General features: G+C 52.4%; 1 protein-coding gene across 2 annotated transcripts in view, besides 10 other annotated features; it reads left to right on the top strand.

Annotated features, from left to right (window-relative positions):
* The first annotated feature begins 1,618 nt into the window (after nt 1–1,618).
* GPRC5B (G protein-coupled receptor class C group 5 member B) overlaps nt 1,619–22,951 on the top strand; it is a 28,944-nt gene continuing 7,611 nt past the window's right edge. Inside the window, exons 1-2 of one of the 2 annotated variants that reach the window (NM_001304771.1) lie at nt 1,619–2,050; nt 14,407–15,437. In NM_001304771.1, the coding sequence (NP_001291700.1) occupies nt 1,659–2,050; nt 14,407–15,437 (1,423 nt within the window). In that variant the 5' untranslated portion in view covers nt 1,619–1,658. Of the gene's footprint in view, nt 2,051–2,404; nt 2,527–14,406; nt 15,438–22,951 lie in introns of those variants that run through there. The other variant, NM_016235.3, reaches the window with a different exon arrangement.
* Nucleotides 1,852–2,146: a silencer, noted in NCBI's record as "tiled region #8054; K562 Repressive DNase unmatched - State 4:PromP". NCBI's record gives its function as "represses a minimal TATA promoter and a strong SV40 promoter by Sharpr-MPRA in K562 cells {active_cell/tissue: K562}" and the evidence as "EXISTENCE:reporter gene assay evidence [ECO:0000049][PMID:27701403]".
* Nucleotides 3,662–4,392: an enhancer, noted in NCBI's record as "H3K27ac hESC enhancer chr16:19894183-19894913 (GRCh37/hg19 assembly coordinates)". NCBI's record gives its function as "activates a minimal SCP1, AML or CMV promoter by ChIP-STARR-seq in naive H9 embryonic stem cells {active_cell/tissue: H9 hESC(naive)}" and the evidence as "EXISTENCE:reporter gene assay evidence [ECO:0000049][PMID:30033119]".
* Nucleotides 4,393–5,122: an enhancer, noted in NCBI's record as "OCT4-NANOG-H3K27ac hESC enhancer chr16:19893453-19894182 (GRCh37/hg19 assembly coordinates)". NCBI's record gives its function as "activates a minimal SCP1, AML or CMV promoter by ChIP-STARR-seq in naive H9 embryonic stem cells {active_cell/tissue: H9 hESC(naive)}" and the evidence as "EXISTENCE:reporter gene assay evidence [ECO:0000049][PMID:30033119]".
* Nucleotides 5,123–5,854: an enhancer, noted in NCBI's record as "OCT4-NANOG-H3K27ac hESC enhancer chr16:19892721-19893452 (GRCh37/hg19 assembly coordinates)". NCBI's record gives its function as "activates a minimal SCP1, AML or CMV promoter by ChIP-STARR-seq in naive and primed H9 embryonic stem cells {active_cell/tissue: H9 hESC(naive and primed)}" and the evidence as "EXISTENCE:reporter gene assay evidence [ECO:0000049][PMID:30033119]".
* Nucleotides 5,855–6,584: an enhancer, noted in NCBI's record as "H3K27ac-H3K4me1 hESC enhancer chr16:19891991-19892720 (GRCh37/hg19 assembly coordinates)". NCBI's record gives its function as "activates a minimal SCP1, AML or CMV promoter by ChIP-STARR-seq in naive H9 embryonic stem cells {active_cell/tissue: H9 hESC(naive)}" and the evidence as "EXISTENCE:reporter gene assay evidence [ECO:0000049][PMID:30033119]".
* Nucleotides 6,585–7,316: an enhancer, noted in NCBI's record as "NANOG-H3K27ac-H3K4me1 hESC enhancer chr16:19891259-19891990 (GRCh37/hg19 assembly coordinates)". NCBI's record gives its function as "activates a minimal SCP1, AML or CMV promoter by ChIP-STARR-seq in naive H9 embryonic stem cells {active_cell/tissue: H9 hESC(naive)}" and the evidence as "EXISTENCE:reporter gene assay evidence [ECO:0000049][PMID:30033119]".
* Nucleotides 7,317–8,046: an enhancer, noted in NCBI's record as "NANOG-H3K27ac-H3K4me1 hESC enhancer chr16:19890529-19891258 (GRCh37/hg19 assembly coordinates)". NCBI's record gives its function as "activates a minimal SCP1, AML or CMV promoter by ChIP-STARR-seq in primed H9 embryonic stem cells {active_cell/tissue: H9 hESC(primed)}" and the evidence as "EXISTENCE:reporter gene assay evidence [ECO:0000049][PMID:30033119]".
* Nucleotides 10,635–11,450: an enhancer, noted in NCBI's record as "H3K27ac-H3K4me1 hESC enhancer chr16:19887125-19887940 (GRCh37/hg19 assembly coordinates)". NCBI's record gives its function as "activates a minimal SCP1, AML or CMV promoter by ChIP-STARR-seq in naive H9 embryonic stem cells {active_cell/tissue: H9 hESC(naive)}" and the evidence as "EXISTENCE:reporter gene assay evidence [ECO:0000049][PMID:30033119]".
* Nucleotides 14,571–15,071: an enhancer, noted in NCBI's record as "H3K4me1 hESC enhancer chr16:19883504-19884004 (GRCh37/hg19 assembly coordinates)". NCBI's record gives its function as "activates a minimal SCP1, AML or CMV promoter by ChIP-STARR-seq in naive H9 embryonic stem cells {active_cell/tissue: H9 hESC(naive)}" and the evidence as "EXISTENCE:reporter gene assay evidence [ECO:0000049][PMID:30033119]".
* Nucleotides 18,555–19,057: an enhancer, noted in NCBI's record as "H3K27ac-H3K4me1 hESC enhancer chr16:19879518-19880020 (GRCh37/hg19 assembly coordinates)". NCBI's record gives its function as "activates a minimal SCP1, AML or CMV promoter by ChIP-STARR-seq in primed H9 embryonic stem cells {active_cell/tissue: H9 hESC(primed)}" and the evidence as "EXISTENCE:reporter gene assay evidence [ECO:0000049][PMID:30033119]".

Genomic DNA, 22,951 nt, shown 5'->3' with positions numbered 1-22,951 from the left:
GGGAAGCCACTGGTTTTCATTAGACAAAGTGAACTGGGCACTTGAGAGCCTGACATGGCTCCCTGGACCTCCTGGAGCCATTCTCTCCAAGGCTGGAGACCCAGTGAACTCTCCTGGGAGGTGAGGTTCCTCTGTGACAATGTCTGACCTGACAGCAAATGACACCAGTCTAACCATTGGTGGATAATATGGCCTGCAGAGCCAGATGGCCTGGATTGGATTTTGTCTTTGCCAACCGTCTAACCCCGGGGCAGTACTTAACCCCTCTTGGCCTCAGTGTCTCCATCTGTAAAACAGGGAGAATAACAGTCTCTGGCCTAAAGGGTAACTGGGAGGATTAAATGAATTAAAGAATTTAAAACACTTAGAATAGCTCCTGGCACACAGAAAGCACTATGTACTCAGCTATTATTGTTATTATTATCATCCATGGGTGTTTGAACTTTTTGGAGGGAAGGAATGCACCTGCCACTCAATGTCCTCCTTCATTTTCACTCTGTGCTCCCTGTGGTATCATCACCCAAAGTGAAACTGACCATCACAGTCAGGGTCCTCTGTAAAACAAGTGGGAAAGGGAATATAACCGTAACTGCAATGTTAATCAGCTCATATTAAGGATTTTCCACATGCCAGACCCTGCGTGAAGCACTTTATATGTTAGCACGTGTTAGACCTTCACAACAACCCCAATAGGCATGTGCGATGAAAAAGATCTCCATTTTGCAGACGTTGAGGACATGTGGCTCACGAAAGTGAACTTGCCCACGTTGACAAAAGGATCTCGGCGTCAGTTCCAAGAGCTGCCACCAGGTGACAGTGCCCATCCACTTTCCAATTGCGCAGTCTGGCGGGAACACACTTTGGGTCGTCCCGCAAACATTTAATGAGCGCCTACTGTGCCTGGAACTGTTCTGGGCTCTGAGGATCCATGCAAATAAACCAGGAGTGGGGCGAAAAACTGCCATTATGGTTCTTCCTTTCCATTTTCCCTTGAATATAATAAAAGGTATCCCAGAGATGCGTGCCCAAGGGGGATGTGGCCTAACCGGACCGGAACTGGGAGGCTGGCAGGGAGGGATGGGAGTATCTGGAAGGGCCACGGTCCCCAAAGATCAGGGGCTGCCACTATTCCCAGAAGGAGGTGTTCTGCATCTCCCCTTCCTGCAGCCCCCGGGAGAGGGGAGCAGGGGTCCGTCCTATCCCTTTTGGTCTTATGTGGCTGGGATGGTTGCGGCGACGGGGGTAGAGATTGGGGGGCGCACCGCGGAGGGAGAAAGGAAATCTCACCCTGAGAATCTGGAGTGCAGGGAAGGGATGCTGCTCAAAGGTCTGTTTCTGGCTTTGGCGGGGGGCCACCTGAGACTGCCAGGGTTTGATGGTCTGAAGGTCACCCAGGGAACCAGCCCCATATGGGGTGCCGGAGCGCAGCTCCCAGGCCTGGTCGAAGCAATGCGACCTCGGAGAGGCCTGAGGACTAGGACGGGGTGAGGGGGACTCAGAGACGGCTGCCCCGGACCCCTCCTTCAAGCAGGTCCCACGGCCGCCCAGCGGACACGCGTCCGGGCTGTGCCCTGACCGTCTGCGGAGCGCACGGCCAGTGGCCCGGGCCGCTGAGTGTGTGAGCCCTGAAGGGCAGTGGACATGTGCGTACGTGGGTGATGTGTGCGGTAGGGGTGGTGGCGATCCTGCGTAGGGACCCACGTGAGGGGTGCACCGACTGGACGTGTGTGTTTCGAGGGGCCAAGGAAGCGGGTGTTGGTCCCAGTGTGCGTAAACGGACAACGACATCTGGGAGTTGGGCAGTGAGGAGAGAGAAGAGTGTGTCCAGGAGGAACCTGCCTGGAGGAGGCCTAGCGGTGTGTGTGCGCCTAGGTGTATACCGGGGCGTTGGTGACTTCGAGAGGCACCGGGCGGGATCGATCCTCTCTGCGTCCTGGACCTGGTGCTGGTGTGTTTCGGGGAAGTTACTGCTTATGAACCCCCCTTGGAGCGTGGCCTGGGGGCAGGAAGGCTTCCGCGCTGGGACCCCTGGGTCGCGATACCTCCCTCGGTAAGTGTATTGGCTAGGGGAGTGTTCCCGCAAATGGATCTACCCTGGGGAGTTGCCCGGCTCGTCTGGACTGCTTACGGGCGCACTGACGTTGTGGGGGGAATGTCCCCGAATTGGGGGCACGAGGTCGGGGGAATCGTCTCTGAGATCCGGGCTAGAAGCTACGAGCTTGGGCTCCGGGGGTGCATGCAGACGGCGCCTAGCCCCGCGCGGAACCGCCGGCGGGACCGGGGGTGGGGCTCGGAGGCCCGGGGGCGGGGCCGGCCGGGGGCGGGGGCGGGGGCGGGGCCGCGGCCGCTGCAGCAGCGCGGGCCGGGCCAGGGGGCGCCTCGCGCGGCAGCGACTCTGGCAGGCGCTGCAGTGAAGCTGGACCCGCAGGCGGGCGTGCGTGGAGCGGGGGCCGCGGCCGCGCCGCAGAGATGTGACTCGGGCCGAAGGCCAGCTGGAGCGTCGGCGCTGCGGGGCCGCGGGGGTCGGTAAGTGCGAGCTGCGCCGATGCAGTGGAGGACGCTGTGGGGACCCCAGAAACTTTTCCCGCCGTGGATTTGGGAGAATTGGGGGGTCCGCTTCTTGTGTTTTTCTAAGCGCCCCCCCAACCCAAGCCAGGGAGTTTATTGCTGGGGGAGATGTGGAATCTGGGCGAGGGGAACCACGGTGCGACGAGAGCAGAGCCGTAGAGGGGTGGGCGGGGGAGGGGAGGATCTGGGGACCTTTACGGGGGGAGGGAGACTGTGCCCGGACCAGGTAGAGATCCAAGTCTCCCAGGAGGGTGTGGGGGCGACCACAGGTGAAGGGCAGCTGGGAGGGTAAAGGAGCCCAGCCGTGTCCTAGTGACTCGTCATGTGTGAGGAGCTGCGGGCTGGTCCTGGGGCCGCGTTGGGGGCTGACTGTGGACAGGGCAGACGCAGCCGGGGGCACAAGGGCTGGACTTTGGGGGTGAACAGCCGCACCTGTCGCGGGGGCTGGGGGTCAAGCCCGCAGCCGGCTTGAGTGCGCATTACTCAGCAAGGGGAGGGGGGGACACGGCGGTGGGAGATGGCAGAGCTGAGACCTGGGCTGGGGACGAATGACGGGGAGGGGTGGGGAGGAGGGGGCGGCTGCATACAATGGCGGGGGGGGCAGTGGCGTTTCCCTTCCAGACAGGGGGCACTTGGACCTCTGGAAGAGGCGGCTAGGCTGGAGATAAGGACTAGACCTGTTCTCGGTCCCCTCTCCTTGGGGGACACAGGCTTCCAGCCCCACAAGGACCCCACACATCCCGGGGTCCCTAGCGCTTAGGCCGAAAAGGGAGCGCGCGGGAGGAGCCCGCACCCGCCTTGGCCCCGGGCAGCCGGTTGAACAGCCTGGGAAGGGGCCAACGACCTTGCCCCAGAAATCTCCCCCGTGCAGCGGGTTCACTCCTCCGTCCTTGCTCTGTCACACCCAGGCCTAGCCAGTCCTCCCTTTCCGTCCCCCGTTCGCTAAGGGGGCGGCTCCTTGGAGCGCGGACAAAGGCCCCTGGAGTGTGGCGGGCAGCGGCGTCCCCGCCTGGGGCCCCAGCCCACGCGCCACATTGGCCGCCCAACTGCACCAGGCCGGGGGGCACCTGAACAGAGCCCAGAAAGCCCTGGGGGACCCCGCAAAGACAAGAGAAGTGGGGGAGGGATCTGGCACAAAAACCCCGGCACTTCAGCCAAGGAACCTTCTTAATTCAGAAGTTTCTTCGGTGGGGACTCGGGCTTGCGGAGGATCCAGGCTTTGAGTTAAACTGCATGCAAATGACATGTAAATAGAATGCAAATTGGCATCTGTCGTTTGGAAGCCCTCCCGGCCAGTTTGGTATCTAAGACTGTGGAGTGAACAGTTTGCTATCTGCTCCCTGCTCTAAGCCTGGAAAGGGGTCAGCTGAGTTGGGAAGGGAAGGAGATTCCAGGAGGAAGGAGCCGCCATTTGGGGGCACAGGCAGCAAGACAGGCAGTTTTGTTAGAAAGATAAACTCAGAATCTTTACTGGATTAATATGTTATTTCAAGAAACGTGCCAGGGACAGAACTGGGTGCCTTGTATAAAACGGACAAAACCCCTGCTCTCCCGGGGCTGGGGAAGTGAGTGGACAAACATTAAACAAACCCATAGCAAATGGCTATGAAATCCGATTGGGGTGAGGACGGCCAGGAAAATAAGATGGGGTGATGTAAAAGAAGGTGACAGGGGTGTATGTACCTGAGATGACTGTTCCGGGAGTGACATTTGAGTGGAGCCCAGCTAGAAGAGGGGCCCTCCGCTGGGAGGTCTTGGAGGAAGACTGAACCAGGAGGAAGGCACTGTGCCTGCAAAAGCTTGGAGGTGGGAATGAGCTTAGAGGAACTGAACAAAGGCCATTGTGGCTGGAGCTGTAGGCAGATTTGGGGGTGGGGATAGGGGAATGGTAGGGACCAGCCAGATCATGATCTTTTGGGTCATGGAAAGGAGTTTAGGGTTTATTCTGTTTGGACCAGTGAACCCTTGGAGGGTTTTGAGTGGGAGGCCATGGGATCTGATTTGTAGAAGCTCCCCTGACGTTGACAAGGAAATGGAAAATAGCCCCCCTTTCCATTCTGCCCATGGGGATAGAGAGACGCTGGGAGCCTCCAAGGGGCTCTGTCCAGCCTTGGGGGACCGCTTTGAGCCTAGCCAGCCACTGCAAGCCAACTGGAGGAGCAGCTCAGGTTTTAAAATCCACTCCCTGCTTTCATACAGTTTTTATCCACTCTAACGGAGCCCCCCGGAGCCCACGGCCCCGTAAGCACTTTCTCGCAGAGCTTCCTGGGGGTTCCGCTTAGTCACATTTTCTTCTCGGAATTACAGCCTGAGAGGAACCAACCACTGTGGATCGGGCAGCCAAGGATGCAATTTGCATTTCAATGATTGCTTTTATTTACAGGACTGGAGCTGCTTTGCATATTCATGGATCACAGAGCTTGTGTTCTTGCAACCCTGTTTACTAACCTATGAGGATTTTTTAATTTGAGAGCCCTCAAATGGGCCAGTGGTCTAGTCAGCATTGGGAAATGAAGATGATGAGATCCTGTAACTCGGAAAAGATATCAGAGGGTGAGAATTGGGGGTGTGGGAAAGAGCGGGTCTGAAGTCAGGAAACCTTGTAACAGTTTAATCCTGCAGAGCAGGAAATGGACCAGAGGCTCCAGCAGGAGTGAGTTGGGACAGACTATGATGCTGGGGTGCATGGGGATCTGGCTCTGCAGCCCCATCCTGAGCCTCTGCCACACGTGAGGGATTCAGAACAGGGATGCAGCAGAAACGCCTTGAGGTCAGGAGCTGGGAGAAATGGGGGCTAGTCCCAGGCCAGCCTGTAAATTCCAGTGAACCTCTGGCCAATTTTCCTGACGTCTCTGCCTTCATTTTCGCAACAGGAAAATGGGAATCATGATTGTCTTTCTTTTTTGAGACAGTTTAACTCTGTCGCCCAGGCTGGAGTGCAGTGGCGCAATCTCGGCTCACTGCTAACTCCGCCTCCCGGTTTCAAGAGATCCTCCTGCCTCAGCCTCCCAAGTATCTGGGATTACAGGTGTGCACCACCACGCCCGGCTTATTTTTGTATTTGTAATAGAGACAGGGTTTCACCATGTTGGCCAGGCTGGTTTCAAACTCCTGTCCTCAAGTGATCTGCCCACCCCAGCCTCCTAAAGTGCTGGGATTACAGGCATGAGCCACCGCGCCTGGCCATGATTGACTTTTTAACAAGCAATTCACTAAAAAGCTGTTGCTTCCTCTGTGTCGGGCACCAAACCTGACTTTTCTTTTCTTGTTGTATTTATTTATAATAGAGACAGTCTTGCTACGTTGCCCAGGCTGGTCTTGAACTCCCTTCCTCAAGCAATCTCCTGCCTCCCATAGTGCTGGGATTACAGGCATGAGCCATCACGCCTGGCCCAGACTATTTTTCACGTACTTCTCACACCAGCCTTGTAAGGCAGCGCTATCATTATCCCCATTTTACAGATGAAGAGACCGAGGTTCAGAGAGGTTAAGTAATGCCCAGTGTCATATAGCTCTGTCTGACTCCCCTCTTCTGGCCTGCCTCCCACTGAGGCCTTTCAGCCTGATGGGAGAGTGAACTGTGTACCCGTATTCATGTGGGTACTGGGCACTGAACTATTAAATATGCACAGGGCTCGGAAATCCACTCCCACCCCACCTGCTCATTTTGTCTTTCCCTTCTGTGTTCCAGTGCCTACCGCCATCTTTAGAGAAGGTAGGTTAAGATGCCACTGCCCTGCTAGACACTCGGAGGGGACATGGCTGGGGTCGAGGGGACATGGCTGGGGTCGAGGGGACACAGGGTGGAGCCGTGCTGGTAGCAGCTGGGGCAAGGCCAGTAAGAATGTTCTAGAATGGTTTTGTACATTTCATGTCTCCTTTCCCGTGAGTGAAAGGGAAGATGAGGATGCTGGTTCCCAAGAGAATGGCTGGTGTCTGCTCTCTGGGTGTCCTGGGTCTGACTCCGCAAGAGAGATGCCTGGTTTCAGGGCACCCCAAGGTCCTCTGGCCTAGGTTCTACCTCCACAGCGAGGCTCTCACTTACAGCACCTGCTGCAGGTTGCAGAAGAGTGTGGGAGTCCCCAGGGCCAACCACCCCAAGAGGGTCTCCCCTTCACACCACCTCAGGGACCTCTTTCGTTGATGTTTGATGGGGGAGGCTAGAAGCCAGCAGTGGACAAAAACCTAAACCAGTAATCTCATTACAACACATTCTTTTCTTATTTTATTTTATTTTATTTTATTTTATTTTATTTATAACAGAGACAGAGTCTTGCTATGTTGCCCAGGCTGGTCTTGAACTCCTGGCCTCAAGCAGTCTCCCACCTCAGCCTTCCAGAGTGCTGGGATTACAGGCATGAGCTTGGAAACCAGCGGTGGACAAATACCTAGGCGAGCCACCTCGTTACAACACCATCTCCATGGCAACCACCCCTTCTAGAAAAATCAGTTTCAGAAGAGCTCACCACCTCAGACAAGGGAGCGTTTGCCAATCTTTTTTATTTTATTTTATTTTATTATTATTTATTTTATTTTATTATTATTATATTTTGAGCAGGGTCTTTATGCTGTCACCTAGGCTGGAGTGAAGTGGCTCAGTCACGGCTCACTGCAGCTCAAACTCTTGGGCTCAAGCGATCCTCCCACCTTAGCCTCCTGAGTAGCTAGGATTACAGGCACACACCACCACACCTGGCTAATTTTTGTATTTTTATAGAGACAGGGTTTCACTATGTTGCCCAGGCTGGTCTCCAACTCCTGGGCTCAAGCGATTTGCCTGCCTTGGGCCTCCCAAAGTGCTGGGATTACAGGTGTGAGCTACGGCGCTTGGCCTTTTTTATGTATTTAATAGACACCTTATATAAAGTGCTTACCCCATTAACTACCGTCCTAAACCCTAATTATTTTAACCGTCACCGCAACCCCATGGGGTGGACACTGTTAGCACCTTTGTTTTGCAGATGAGGCACCTTATGGCAGCTGCCCAGAGTCACAAGGTGCTAGCAGGTGGTGTGGGGACATTATCGGAAACTGGGAGATCTGATTCCTAAGTTCACACCAAGGTATGGCCTTGGTGTAGCCTCCGGGCAGGCCTTGTTTTCCTTCTCACACAAGGAATCCTGCCTGCCTGTGTTCGCCCTCTGCAGGCCCCAGCACGTGGAGAGATAGAGTGTGCTGTTCCTCCACCTGCTAGCTGCTTCTGGCCCCTCTGCAGAGTGCGTGCATGCGCGTGTGTGTGTGTCTGTGTGTGTGGTGTGTGTGTGTGTGTGAGAGAGAGAGAGATGCAGTATATTTAAGAGCATCTGAGTGAGTCACATTTCTAGGAGCCTGGCTGGCAGCAAAGGTAATTAGTATGTGAGCTGAGTCTTGTGCATTCGTTCACATTTATTCATTACTCCTTTTGAGAAGCGCACGCCTGCATCCCACGGGTTTGTTGCCATATATTCATCCTGTCCCAATCAATCCTGCCTCGAGGCTGACTCGAAACCTCTAATCTGGTATTGTTCCTTCTGGGGCTCCTGGAGAGCTGCCCAGCTCTCGGGGGTGGGAGGCACCAGGTGCCTAATTTAGCAGGATGGGGGCTTACCTGCCATGGGGCACAGTGGATCGTGGGCATTGCCTGCCTTGTCTTGGGCTGGGGTGGGGAGGTGAAGGAGCTAGGGCTCTGAGTTCCGGCTCTCGCTGCTATACGTGTCCTTGTGTATCCAGCCTCAGTACACCCCCACATCGCCTGCAGCACTGGTGGAAGCACTGGTGGCTGGACCCACGCCCTGAGAATCTGCATTTCTAAAGAGCTCCAGGGCGATGTTGCTGCTTTTGCCAGCCCGAGAACCAAACTTCGATGTAAACCTCTCAGACCCTCAGTTTCCTCCTCTATAAATGGGAATGAGAACACACAGCCTTTCGGGGTGGTGTGAGGTTTGGAGACCACATTTATCCATTCACTCGGCAACTGGATTGTGAGCACTGCCCAAGTGCCAGGCACTGGGGAAATGGTGCAGACGACAAGGTCCCGGGCATGAGGTAGGGGTTGGGGGAAGAGGGGAATGGTGAGGAACAGACCAAAAGAGTAATACAAATAAAATAATCTGGCCCAGTGTGGTGGCTCACGCCTGTAATCCCAGAACTTTGGGAGGCTGAGGCGGGCAGATCACTTGAGGTCAGGAGTTCAAGACCAGCCTGGCCAACATGGCAAAACCTCCGTCTCTGCTAAAATACAAAAATTAGCCAGGTGCCTGTGATCTCAGCTACCTGGGAGGCTGAGGCAGGATAATGGCTTGAGCCCAGGAGGCAGAGGTTGCAGTGAGCCGAGATCATGCCACTGCACTCTAGCCTGGGCAACAGAGCGAGACTCTGTCTCAAAAAAGTAAAATCAAATAATTGAAAATTGAGGTACACGCTACAAAGATATCACTCAAAAGATTGACAAGGACAGGGAGAATCTACTTTGGGTTTTTTTGTTTGTTTGTTTGTTTGTTTGTTTTTAAGACGGAGTCTCACTCTGTTGCCCAGGCTAGAGTGCAGTGGCGTGACCTCGGCTCACTGCAACCTCCGCCTCCTGGGTTCACATCATTCTCCTGCCTCAGTCCCCCAAGTAGCTGGGATCACAGGCACGTGCCACCACGCCCAGCTCATTTTTGTATTTTTAGTAGAAACGGGGTTTCACCATGTTGGCTAGACTGGTCTCGAACTTCTGTCCTTAAATGATCTGCCTGCCTCGGCCTCCCAGAGTGCTGGGATTACAGGCGTGAGCCACTGTGCCAGGCCAGGGAGAATCTACTTTGATTGACTTGCCAGTCAAAGGCTCAGCAAGTGGCACTTCTGGGACTCTAGTGTGTAGTAAAAGCTAGTGTGTAGTAAAAAGCAATAGGACAATTGTTTGTGTCTCGCCTCTCCCCTTTGTAGCTGCGTGACCTTGGACAAGCCTGCTGTCTTCCCTGTGCCAGGTTTTGTCTCCTGTAAAATGGAGATAGTAATAGTACTTACCTTATAGAATTATAATGTGGATCATTAGGTATTAATATACGCGAAGTACACAGAGTGCCTAGAACATAGCACTGTAAGGGTTAACCAGTTATTGTTGTTGTCACTTTGGCTGCAATAGGAAACTCTGGGGGGCATTTCTGAATCCCCCAGAAATCCTAGATGAGCTGCCTCAGTGTCAGTCTGTGAGGCAATGTGCCACACCCCTCCCCCAAACATCCTGGACATTGTCCTATGGAGTGGGTGGCTGTCACCTCATGGGCAGCCATGGCAATGATAATGACCCACTTGAGACAAGTGGTGCCATCAGTTGCATCTGTGTGCTTAGATATTGGGTACGGAGGACTTCCTGGAAGAAGGGGGCCATAAGATGTGGGAGGAACATTAGAACTTCTTTGTTGGTAAGTGACAGAAACCCAGCTCAAACTGGCTTAATCCAAAAAAAGCAGGGGCTGGGGGAGTTAACTGGCTGCCGGAACTGCATAGACTAGGCTGGCTTCAGGCATGGATGAATCCAGCCATTCAGTGTATTAGGACTGTGGTCCATCCCATAGCTGTTTCCTCTGGGACAGCTTTACTCTCAGACAAGTTCTCACCCTGTGTGTTCTCCAGCTTCAGGCCTCCATCCTTGTAGTTTTTCAACCCCAGCAGAAAGAGAAGACCTCTTTCCAGTGAGTGCTAGAACAATCCTAGAGCGGATTCTCACGGGCCTGGCTCAGGCCACGTGCCTTTCCATGAACCACTCACTGTGGCTAAGGGTAGCATAAATGCTCTGATTGGCCAGGCCTAGGACAGATGCCCATGCTGGGAGCTCAGACGCAAGGTAGCTCTCCAAGGGAAAATCAGGTGCTCTTTCCAGAAATGGGAGAAGCGGATGCTGAGCAGCGAAAACAACAGCTGTCCCGGAAGAGCAGAGCGTTCCACCCTCAGGGATGAAAACAGAAAGCAAGAGTGTATCTATTTCCCATGTCAGAGAGGAGTCAGGAGCTGGAAACCTGGACCAGGGCCATAGAACTCTGCACCATTTCAGAAGCTTGGTCGCCATCTTGGTGTTGGCATCCTCCACATAGGTTTTCTGTTGCGACTGCATGGCTGAGCAGGAAGTGGGAGGAGCTGGAGAAACAAAAGTCCCAATTTGCAGCCAGGTCTGGAAAAGAGAGAACCCCCTCAGGGAGTGAATGGAAACAGCTTCAGAAGGCCAAGTTCTTGCAAGGAGACCCAGGGTGCAGGCCTGCTGCTGAGGGGCCTGGCTGGTTTTGTGGCATCTTCCCCATCGATTCTCTCTTTACGTGCCTAAACCAGGCTTGCTCCACCTTGGCACAGTTGACCTGTAGGGCTGGATAATCCTTTCTCATGGGAGCTGTCCTATTGTAGGATGTTTGGCAGCATTGCTGGTCTCTATCCCCCTGATACCAATTGCATCTCCCTCCCTAGTTGTGACAACCGAAAATGTCTCTAGACATTGCCAAATGTCCCCTTGGGGTCAAAACTGCAACTGGTTCGGAACCACTGGCCTACTGGGTGAGGAGGGGTTGGGGAATCGGTGGTAGTGAGGACTGCAAAGCACATTCCTGCCTGTCATCCTCCCAGCCACCCTGGGGCTGGATGGGATTAGAGAGGCTGCTTGCAGCATTGCTTGCTGAAACTTGCTGAGAAGTCTCTTAACTGAGCTGGCCATTGATGAGATGTCTCAGGGGAATCCATTCCAGGGCCCCTCCACTGGGTCGGGGACTGTTGGCATTTTGTTCTGACACCTCCAGTTCTTAAATTTTGATCCCTCGTGTGCTTTAGTACCTCGTGACAAGCAATTGTGCTAGGATGATGTTTCTCCAAAGGGTGGTAGGTTGAAATGCGCCCAGTGGGTATGCAACATGGGTTACATCAACGAGCGATTTTATTTTATTTTTATTTATTTATTTATTGAGACAGAGTCTTGCTCTGTTGCCCAGGCTGGAGTGCAGTGGCAAGATCTTGGCGCACTGAAACCTCCACCTCCCAGGTTCAAGCGATTCTTCTGCCTCAGCCTCCCAAGTAGCTGGGACTATAGGCACGTGGCACCACGCCCAGCTAATTTTTTTTATTTTTAGTAGAGACAGGGTTTCACCATACTGGCCAGGCTGGTCTCAAACTCCTGTCCTCAAGTGATCCTCTTGCCTCAGCCTCCCAAAGTGCTGGGATTACAGTTATGAGCCACTGCACCCAGTCTCAATGAGCAATTTAAAAATGTCTGGAGATAAATACTTGAATGTGTTTGGTTTTCTTGTAAGTGGGTTGATTCAAAAGTTAAGTAAATAACCGCCCAGGTGGTGTGTGGACAAAGCATAAGTAGCTGTGGTGGCACGTCAGTGACCGACGTGGCAGGACCACGAATAAGTGCTGGATTGCAGGCCGACCGATGCCTGGGGTGCATCCTCACCCCGGAAGGTACCTGAGCAGGATGCTGGGGCGGAATGCTGGCCGGATGCCTTCTATTCTGAGGCTGCCTCCTCTCATCAGTAGGCAAAGGACATGAGCCCGACAGCCCCAGGCACCTTTTCCTTCAGTAACATCAATAATTTATGCCACTGGAAAGCCTCACAGCCAGGGCAGGATCTGAGATGCTCACAGGATCTCTGTAACAGTGAGGTGGTCGATACCGCATTTACTTAGGGAAGCCCCAGGGACGTACTGGAGCCCGGGGAGAGCAGCTGGTCACAACCCCACACGTGGGTTGAGCTGGGGCAGTAAGTCTGGCTTGAGAGGCCAGGAAACAAGCATCCAGCCAGCTGTGCGGGCTGTGGCTTTCCTAAAGACCAGGCTCCCTTCAAAAGCAAGGGGCCGTTAGAGAAAAAAAAAAAAAAAGGGAAGGAGCTGGTAGCCGTGAGGTAGGGGACAGTCCTCACTATGTTTCTCATTCATTCAGTATTTACTAAACATCGTGCCAGGTGCTGTGTGTCGAGCTTGAGTCTACAGCCATGGTTCTCATCCAGGTGATTTTGCTCCCCCAGGGGACATCTAGCACTGTCTAGAGACATTTTGGGTTGTCACAGTTGGAGGAGGGGACGTGCTACCGGTATCCAGTGGGTAGAACCCAGCGATGCTGCTAAGCATCCTGCAACGCACAGTCCCCCATGACAGAGAACAACCCAGCCCAAATGTCAGTCGTGCCAAGACTGAAGGAGCCTTGTCTGCCGGTGAACAAGAGAGACCATGTCCCTGCCCTGCCACGTCTTGCAATGGAGGAAGTGAGGATGGGAGGACAGGAGGAAGGGAAGGCAGAAACAAAGTAAACAGCCAAAAAATGACAGACGTGATTAGACCAGAGGCTGTGGTGGAGAGGACTGGGGTGTGACCTTGGCCAAGTCTGAGTTGATGGCATCAGAGCTGAGCTCAGCACTGGGAGGAGGAGTGGCCAGGCAGAGGGAGCAGAGGGGCAAGAGGAGACTTGGGTTAGGCCCATCGCTGAGGCTGCTGTGTGGACTCCAGCTCGTATATGGGCAAGAGAGAGGGCAGCAGGGAGAATTCTGCAGGTTTCCCAGGGAGAGAGGCACTCTGGGGAATCCTCCAGAGATGTTCTAGAGAGCGAGCGTGGGAGGTGAGGGAGAGACGCAGCCTGGAACCAAGGAAGACAGCTGCTTTTGTGTTTACTACATTTGAAATGCTGGGATTCCAGCACTTTGGGAGGCCGAGGCGGGTGGATCACCTGAGGTCAGGAGTTCGAGACCAGCCTGGCCAACATGGTGAAACCTAGTCTCTACTAGAAATACAAAAAAATTTAGCCAGGCGTGGTGGCGCACGCCTGTAATCCCAGCTACTCAGGAGGCTGAGGCAGGAGAATCGTTTGAACCTGGGGAATCAGAGGCTGTAGTGAGCCTCCGATTGCGCCACTGCACTCCAGCCTGGGCGACAGACAGACTCCGTCTCAAATAAAAACAAAAAAGGAAAGAAATGCTGGGAGCCCGCGGAGTGAGGTCGCACCCAGGAGTTGAGTTGTGTGACCTTGTGCAAAGGTTGTCACCTCCTGGAGACTCTGTATTGTCACCTGTAAGATGGAGGTCCTAATAGGAGCTGTCTCACAGGGCATTGTGAGGACTGGATGTGTCCAATTCCTGGCTGTTAGCTGTTAGCCTCGAGAGGCTGAGACCAGGTAATGTGTGCCACTCATTCTCCCAGTGCAGCACTTGGCCTGTGGCTGTGTCTTTAAAGTTTCATTTTTTTCCCCTTATTTTTCTTTCTTTGGTTTTTTTTTTTTTTTTTGGAGACGGAGTCTAGCTCTGTCGCCCAAGCTGGAGTTTAGTGGCACGAGCTCAGCTCACTGCAACCTTCGCCTCCCAGGTTCAAGCAATTCTGCTGCCTCAGCCTCCCAAGTAGCTGGGATTACAGGCGCCCGCCACCATGCCCAGCTAATTTTTGTATTTTTTAGTAGAGACGGTGTTTTACTGTGTTGGCCAGGCTGGTCTTGAACTCCTGACCTCGTGATCCGCCCGCCTCTGCCTCCCAAACTGCTGGGATTACAAGCATGAGCCACCACGCCCAGCCTTCCTCTTATTTTTCAAGAGGTCAGATGTGGCACAGAGTATCCAATTCAAAGAATACAAAAGGGTATACAGAGAAGTTGGCCTCCCTCCTACCCTGTCCTTCAGCCACCAGTGATGATGATTCACGGTTCTTCACTGCACCCAGCCAAGGGTACAGATGGGTCCCAAAACCTCCGTGCCTGAGGAAAGGAGCACGTTTTCCTATGTGTGCAAAGGTGCCGTGTGCGCTTGCAGGTTTGAAATGAGGCGAGTCTTCTTCAAGAAGTCAGGAGAGGGGGAGTCTTCCAATGAATTCATCTTTCCTTCCCCCCAACCATTCCCCTCTTGGCTTTTCTAGAATGTTCGTGGCATCAGAGAGAAAGATGAGAGCTCACCAGGTGCTCACCTTCCTCCTGCTCTTCGTGATCACCTCGGTGGCCTCTGAAAACGCCAGCACATCCCGAGGCTGTGGGCTGGACCTCCTCCCTCAGTACGTGTCCCTGTGCGACCTGGACGCCATCTGGGGCATTGTGGTGGAGGCGGTGGCCGGGGCGGGCGCCCTGATCACACTGCTCCTGATGCTCATCCTCCTGGTGCGGCTGCCCTTCATCAAGGAGAAGGAGAAGAAGAGCCCTGTGGGCCTCCACTTTCTGTTCCTCCTGGGGACCCTGGGCCTCTTTGGGCTGACGTTTGCCTTCATCATCCAGGAGGACGAGACCATCTGCTCTGTCCGCCGCTTCCTCTGGGGCGTCCTCTTTGCGCTCTGCTTCTCCTGCCTGCTGAGCCAGGCATGGCGCGTGCGGAGGCTGGTGCGGCATGGCACGGGCCCCGCGGGCTGGCAGCTGGTGGGCCTGGCGCTGTGCCTGATGCTGGTGCAAGTCATCATCGCTGTGGAGTGGCTGGTGCTCACCGTGCTGCGTGACACAAGGCCAGCCTGCGCCTACGAGCCCATGGACTTTGTGATGGCCCTCATCTACGACATGGTACTGCTTGTGGTCACCCTGGGGCTGGCCCTCTTCACTCTGTGCGGCAAGTTCAAGAGGTGGAAGCTGAACGGGGCCTTCCTCCTCATCACAGCCTTCCTCTCTGTGCTCATCTGGGTGGCCTGGATGACCATGTACCTCTTCGGCAATGTCAAGCTGCAGCAGGGGGATGCCTGGAACGACCCCACCTTGGCCATCACGCTGGCGGCCAGCGGCTGGGTCTTCGTCATCTTCCACGCCATCCCTGAGATCCACTGCACCCTTCTGCCAGCCCTGCAGGAGAACACGCCCAACTACTTCGACACGTCGCAGCCCAGGATGCGGGAGACGGCCTTCGAGGAGGACGTGCAGCTGCCGCGGGCCTATATGGAGAACAAGGCCTTCTCCATGGATGAACACAATGCAGGTAAAGTGGGCACCACCCGGCTGGGTCAGGCCGGGGGACCATTCATCTCAAAAGATACTCTTCTTCCTCTTCAGTGGGGATGGGCGGTCCCAGTACCTGGGGCAGTCCTAGCAGATCAGAACCCACAAATGTTGACTCCTGGGCTGAAACTGACCCAGATATGGGTTTGGGTTGTTTGTTTGTCTGTTTGTTTGAGACAGATTTTCGCTCTTGTCACCCAGGCTGGAGCACAATGGTGCAATCTCAGCTCACTGCAACCTCCGCCTCCTGGGTTCAAGTGATTCTGCTGTCTCAGCCTCCCAAGTAGCTGGGACTATAGGCGTGTGCCACCACGCCCAGCTAATTTTTGTATTTTTAGTAGAGATGGGGTTTCACCATATTGGCCAGCTTGGTCTTGAACTCCTGACCTCAGCTGATATGCCCACCTCGGCCTCCCAAAGTGCTGGGATTACAGGAGTGAGCCACCACGCCCAGCAGGGTTTGGGTTTTTTGTTTTTTGTTTTTTTCTTTCTTTCTTTTTTTTTTTTTTTTTTTGAGACAGGGTCTTGTTCTGTTGCCCAGGCTGAGTGCAACAGTGTGATCATAGCTCACTGCAGCCTCGAACTCCTGGCTAAAGCAATCCTCCCAACTCAGCCTCCTGAGTAGCTGGAACTGCATGCATACGCCACCATGTCCAGCTACTTTTTTTATTCTTTTTAGAGACAGGGTCTCATTATGTGGCCCAGGCAGGTCTCAAACTCCGGGGCTCAAATGATCCTCCCGCCTCAGCCTCCCAAAACTCTGGCATGAGCCACTATGCTCAGCCTCAGATATGGATTTTTATTAAGCTTTTTTTTTTTCCCTACCAATTGCCAGCCAATTTATTTTAAAAATACAGGTTTCTGGCTTCTTTTGCAAAGTCAAATCTGGCAACACTGGACCAACATTTCCACCAGGCTGCAATGGTCTGAAACTGACTTGAGCCCATGTGCACTGGAAGGGCCCTGCCTCTGGCCCCTCCTGGACTTGTGGCTGCCCTTTAGATGGGAATCCACTTTTCTGTTCACCGCACTCTCTACCGCTCTCTATTGCACCTGACCCAGCTGCTATATAGGATAGTAACATTAATTCCCTGGCTCCCCCAAAGCATTTGAGTCTTCAACCCATGTGCTGGATGGATGTAGGGGGCCACAGCGGGGATTGCTCCCATCCCCTCTCCTAGCTCAGTTACCGGGAATGTACTAATTTGGGCCCTGGAGGCAGATGTCTGCGTTCAAATTTTGCCTCTGCCACTTCCTAGATGTGTGGCTTTGAGGAAATTATATTACTTTCGTGAGCCTCAGTTTTTCTCATCTGTGAACTAGAAATAGTAAGAGACTGTACCTCATAGAGCTGTTAGGAGAAGGAACACAGTGAGTACAAAGCCCTCTTGGTACCTGGTATGTTCTCTGTGCATCTGACTTGGCTTCCACTGAAAGAAGAATCTGAGACACAAGGGCTCCAGTGCAGGTGGTTTCGTGGGGAAGTGGTCCCTGCAAGGGAGAGGACAGGGAGAATGAGACTGAGAAGGCAGAGAAGATAAAACAAGCACATTAATGAGCTAGTTACTACCACGGGCAACAGGGGCTCATTTGTGCTGGGAATCCTCTGAGGACATATGCTGAATGAGCCTCAGAATTGGTCCAGGAAGAAAAGGAGGCTGGGGCATCTGTCCACAGGCTCCCATCTCCCAGTGTTATTTGGTTTTGGTTTTGGTTTTTTATGGATTGAGTCTCGCTCTGTTGCCCAGGCTAGAGTGCAGTGGCACAATCACAGTTCACTGCAGCCTTGACCTCCTGGGCCCAAGCAGTCCTCCCACCTCAGCCTCCCGAGTAGCTGGGACCACAGGCACACACCACCACACCCAGTTAACTTATTTTTTATTTTTGATAGACATGGGGTCTCACTCTGTTGCCTAGGGTGGTCTCGAATTCCTGAGCCCAAGTGATCCCCCCACCTCAGCTTCCCAAAGTGCTGCGATTACAGGCATGAGCCATAGCACTGGGCCCCCCAGTGTTATTAACATCCCCTATAATTCTGGTGACTGGGGTGGATAAGTATCATCAGTTCCAAGGCAGAAAAACAGACTTGCTGAGCGCTTGAGATGGATGTTATCTGGGTACCCAGGACTATCTGCTACTGCTGCAGGGGGCTTCAGAAGTGAGGTCCTATCTAGGGGATGTGGCATAGGAACCCAATAGGACCTACCTAGGGGATGTGATACAGGAACCCAAATCCCCTGCTATTGATACTTGAAAAGTATCTCGTAGAATCATTACTTGAAGGGAGTCAGCCAGGGTCCCAGCACTTGAGATTAAATAAACTTGCCCTTTCTCGGTTCTTTGAAGATGCATCAGGGGCTACAACATTAATAATAATAATAACTAGTATTGTCATCATTTGTTGAGCACTAACTATGTGTCAGACACTATTGTGAATCTGTCTTTTTTTTTTTTTTTTTTTTGAGGCAGAGTCTCACTCTGTCACCCAGGCTGGACTGGAGTGCAGTGGCTCTATCTCAGCTCACTGCAGCCTCCACCTCCCAGCTTCAAGTGATTCTCCTGCCTCAGCCTCCCGAGTAGCTGGGATTACAGGTGCATGCCATCACGCCTGGCTAATTTTTGTATTTTTAGTAGAGACAGGGTTTCACCATGTTGCCCAGGCTGGTCTCGAACTCCTGACCTCATGTGATCCGCCTGCCTTGGCCTCCCAAAGTGCTGGGATTACAGACATGAGCCACTGCGCCCGGCCACTATTATAAATATTTGACCTGCATTAGCTCATTAGTCCTCACTACCACCTAATGAGGTAAATCTTGTTATTATCCCCATCTTATGGGTGAATAAATGGAGGCTCTGAGAATTAAATGACTTGTCCGAGGACTTCAGATTGTCATGATTCCCTCTTCAGTGACATTCACCCAGGAGGCTGGTGCATGGGCCATGCTCAGCAGCTGCTTATCCTATCCAAGGCCATCCACATCCCTCTGTCCCGCGTGGATGGGCCCCCTCCCCCTGGCCAGATCTCTAGGAGGGAACGCCAGTGGCCTCTCCGCTAGATAGGGCTGGAAATCCCAGTGTGGCTTTATCAGCTGCTCTCTTCTTACCAGGAAGCTCCAGGTTGGCAAGCCCGTGTTTGTTGAGATTTGGCAGGGATGGCAGAGTCAGCCCAGCTTGGAGGCTGGCTCCCTGGGATGCCAGAAGATAGGGATCAGGACAGAGATCAGCACTGGGAACCCAGAGGACGGGCCCTTCAGGGAATGTCGTGAGCAGAGATCGGGAGCTGGTCAGTTCCTGGGTTCCTGGTTGGGCCATCTCTCTGCTGGCCCAAACTCCCTCTGGAACTCAAAAATAGCAAGAATTCCTGAAACGGATACAAACTTTTATACATTCATGTTTTCTTTTTTCTTTCTTTTTTTTTTCTTGAGATGGAGTTTCACTCTTGTTGCCCAGGCTGGAGTGCAATGGCATGATCTCAGCTCACCACAACCTCCGCCTCCAGGTTCAAGCAATTCTCCTGCCCCTGCCTCCTGGGTAGCTGGGATTATAGCCGTGTGCCACCACACCTGGCTAATTTTGTATTTTTAGTAGAGATGGGGTTTCTCCATGTTGGTCAGGCTGGTCTCAAACTCCTGACCTCAGGTGATCCACCCGCCTCGGCCTCCCAAAGTGTTGGGATTACAGGCATGAGCCACCGCACCCAGCCCCCTTTTTCGTTTTGTTTTGTTTTTCTAGATGGAGTCTCACTCTGTCACCCGAGCTGGAGTGCAATGGTGTGGTCTCAGCTCACTGCAACCTCCACCTCCCGGGTTCAAGCGATTCTCCTGCCTCAGCCTCCTGAGTAGCAGGACTACTTGAGACGGACACTTGAGATGTGCGTGCCATCACACCCGGCTAATTTTTGTATTTTTAGTAGAGATGGGCTTTCACTATGTTGGCCAGGCTGGTCTCAAACTCCTGACCTCACGATCTGCCTGCTTCAGCCTCCCAAAGTGCTGGGATTACAGGCGTGAGCCACCACGCCCGGCCTTGGAGCCTCTTTTATAAGGACACGAATCTCACTCACGAAGCCTCCACCCTGATGGCCTAATCACCTCCCAAAGGCTCTACCATCTAATATCATCACACTGGAGACGAGGTTTTAACATATGTTTCTCTAGGGAATTGTTCTATGGCTTTGTCAGATTCTCAAAGCCACCCATGACCCCCAAAAGGTGAAGAACCAGTGTGTTGTTGAACATGATGATTCCGTTTCTTGAAGTAAAACCACGATGCCAGAGCTACCCAAGTATCATGGCCTTTACAGTGTAAGATAACTAACCTCTGTTGGGGGCTTCCTGGGGGCCCGGTATCATTCTGAGCATTTTAGTGGCTGATCTCTTTTAATCTCTACAATAACTGCATGAGTTCTGATTTGCAGATAGGAAACTGAGGCACAGAGAGGCTAAGCAGTTTGCCCAAGAGGCAGAGCCGGAATTTGAACCCAGGCAGAGGAAGAGTTTAAATCCAGGCAGAGCCAAGAGTTTGAACCCAGGCGGGATAGCTCCAGAGCCCGCATGCCTGACCCCTGTGTCATGGAATTACCCTCCTCTCCATAAAGCGCTTAAGCGCCCCTCATCTCACTGAGGTGTCAGGACCACTCTGTGCATTTGGAAAGATGAGGACTATAAGACCCGTTTTACAGAGTGGAAAACTGAGCCCGGGGATGTCAGGCAACTTGTTCAAGCATAGGCTATAAATACACGGCAGAGCAGGAAGGGAAAAAGTTGGTTTCCTGAATTCCACTACTGACATCCTTTCTTGTAAAAATGCAGCCAAGACTTTATAGCCAGATAAGATCCAGAGATGCAAGGGCTCTGGGACCCAGGTTGGTGTCAGCAGAGCTGGGGCTGGCGCGGGGATGATGAAGAGTCCAGACTTATCAATAAGGTGCGGCACACCTTATGTGTTTCACATCTGTTTCATAGTGACACATTCCGAAGCCAAGGAAGTTGTCTTTCTATTCCCCTCTTTCTTTTCCAAAGCAAAAATATTTATTACTCCTTCTTGGTGGCAAATAAGCAACAATAATCATATAGAATCAGTGGAATCATGTAGGTTCAACAAGTAAAAATAATAGCCAGGTGCGCTGGCTCACGCCTCTGTAATCCCAGCACTTTGGGAGGCCGAGGCGGGCAGATTGCTTGAGCTCAAAAGTTGGAGACCAACCTGGGCAACGTGGCGACACCCCTGTCTCTACTAAAAATACAAAAAATAATAAAATAATAATAAATAGCTGGGCATGGTGGTGCATGCCTGTAGTCCCAGGTACTCGCTCGGGAGGCTGAGGTGGGAGAATCGCTTGAACCGGGGAGGCAGAGGTTACAGTGAGCTGAGATCGCGTCACTGCATCCCAGCCTGGGTGACAAAGGGAGACCTTATCTCAAATGAAAAATAAAATAAAACAATAATAAACAAAAATTTCTTAAAATCCCTTTGCCCAGGGGCAACGGTTTGCTTCCACACTCACACACAATGGGGCAGAGTGCGTCTTAACCAGGCTACACATTACAATGACTTGGGGCTGCTTTAAAAAATTACCAGTGCTTGGCCGGGCACAGTCCCAGCACTTTGGGAGGCCGAGGCAGGCGGATCACAAGGTCAGGAGTTTGAGACCAGCCTGGCCAATATGGTAAAACCCCGTCTCTACTAGAAGTACAAAAAAATTAGCCGGGCGTGGTGGCGCATGCCTGTAATCCCAGCTTCTCGGAAGGCTGAGGCAGAATTGCCTGAACCCGGGAAGCGGAGGTTGCAGTGAGCTGAGATCACGCCACCGCACTCCAGCCTGGGCGACAGAGTGGGACTCCGTCTCAAAAAAAAACAACAAAAAACAAAAACAGTGCTTGCTCAACTGTGATTAAGTCTGAGTTTGGTATTAGGTATTTTTTAAGCTCTCCAAGTGATTCTCAGATGTAACCAGGTTGAAACCGCTGGTCTAAGTGACGTTCTTCAGCGTGCTTGCTTTAAATCAATGTTACAGAGGTAACTGCAGAGCTACAGTCTCCTTTTTTTAATCTTCAGCTGGTGAATATTCTGCCTGCTTCTGACTCTCAACGATAAACAGTGCTGCAATGAACATTCTTATGCATTCATCTTCAGGCTTTTGATCAATTCACTCCTTGCAAAAAAATTTTTCTAAATGTGGGTTAAAGAGCCTGCACTTCAAATCTTGATACAGTAAAGTCCTCACTTGACATTATTAGCAGGTTCTTGTAAACTGCGACTTTAAGTGAAATGATGTATAATAAAGCCAGTTTTTTCCTCATCAATTTCAGTAGCAAAACAATGACACTATTTGAGGATCTCTTGTATGTTCCTTCACTTAAAGTCAGAGTTTTCAAGAACCTTTTGATGGCATCAAGTGAGGAATTACTGTACATATGGCCAGATGGCACCCCAGAAAGGTAGACCAGTGGACTGTCCTTCCCCTTGATAAACGCATCGAAGCCCCATCTCTCCACCTCTTCAGCAACCTTGGGTGTTGTCAGACCTTTTTAAAAATAGACTTCTTTTGAATCATCCCAAATGTGTGTCCACCAAAATTCACATGAAGCTGGGTGCAGTGGCTCACAACTGTATCCCAGCTCTTTGGGAGGCTGAGGCAGGAGGATTACTTGAGCTCAGGAATTTTGAGACCAGCCTGAGTAGCATAGGGAGACCCTGTCTCTACAAAAAAAAAAACTAAAAATAAGCCAGGCATGGTGGCGTGTGCCTGTAGTCCCTGCTACTTGGGAGGCTGAGGTGAGAGAGTGACTTGAGCTACGGAGGTCGAGGCTGCAATGAGCCGTATTCACACCACTGTACCCCAGCCTGAGACAGAGACCCTGACAAAAAAAAAAAAAAAAAAATGAGACCGGGCAAAGCTCCCACAGAAAGGCTAAGTTGGAGTCCTGGCTAGATGGCCTTTGTTCTAGAAACCCTTGCTTTGCTGGCTGGGGACTATCTGGCATGCTCCCTTGCCACAGGAGGAGCAGCCGTTGGCATCTTTGGTGCTGACCTCAGCCAGCTTGTATTTTAGGAACCAGGCCCCATGAGGCAGAGGCCTTATCCTTGAGCCCTTGGGTCTCACAGAATCGCCGGTGCCCAGGAGCTATGGTTGGCCCAGTTTCTCTTGCATTTTAGCCTTTTGGGCTCTCTTCCTTTGAGAGTCCATCCTTGACATGCTCATGCGGTGGGAAGGGCATTCTCCAGGCTGGCCTGTGGCTTTGCCAAGCCCCAGAAGCCTCCACACCCTATATCCTTCCACTGAGTGAGACCTCAGATAGATACAACTTCACCCACCTGCTGCTTATTAGTAAGTATCAACAAGGCATAAGGTATGTGATAAAAGATTAAAATACACTGAGAGATGTAGCACCTCGAATCACATCTTGGAAAGCATTAACAAGGCACATGAAATGTTGGCTTTCAACAGAGCAAGAAAGAAAAGTGTTCTTTCCTCTATTAGGGGCTTTGGGC

The sequence above is a fragment of the Homo sapiens genome, chromosome 16 (genome assembly GCF_000001405.40).
Source record: "Homo sapiens chromosome 16, GRCh38.p14 Primary Assembly".
Taxonomy (NCBI): Eukaryota; Metazoa; Chordata; class Mammalia; order Primates; family Hominidae; genus Homo; species Homo sapiens.
This window is presented reverse-complemented; position numbering and strand designations above follow the sequence as displayed.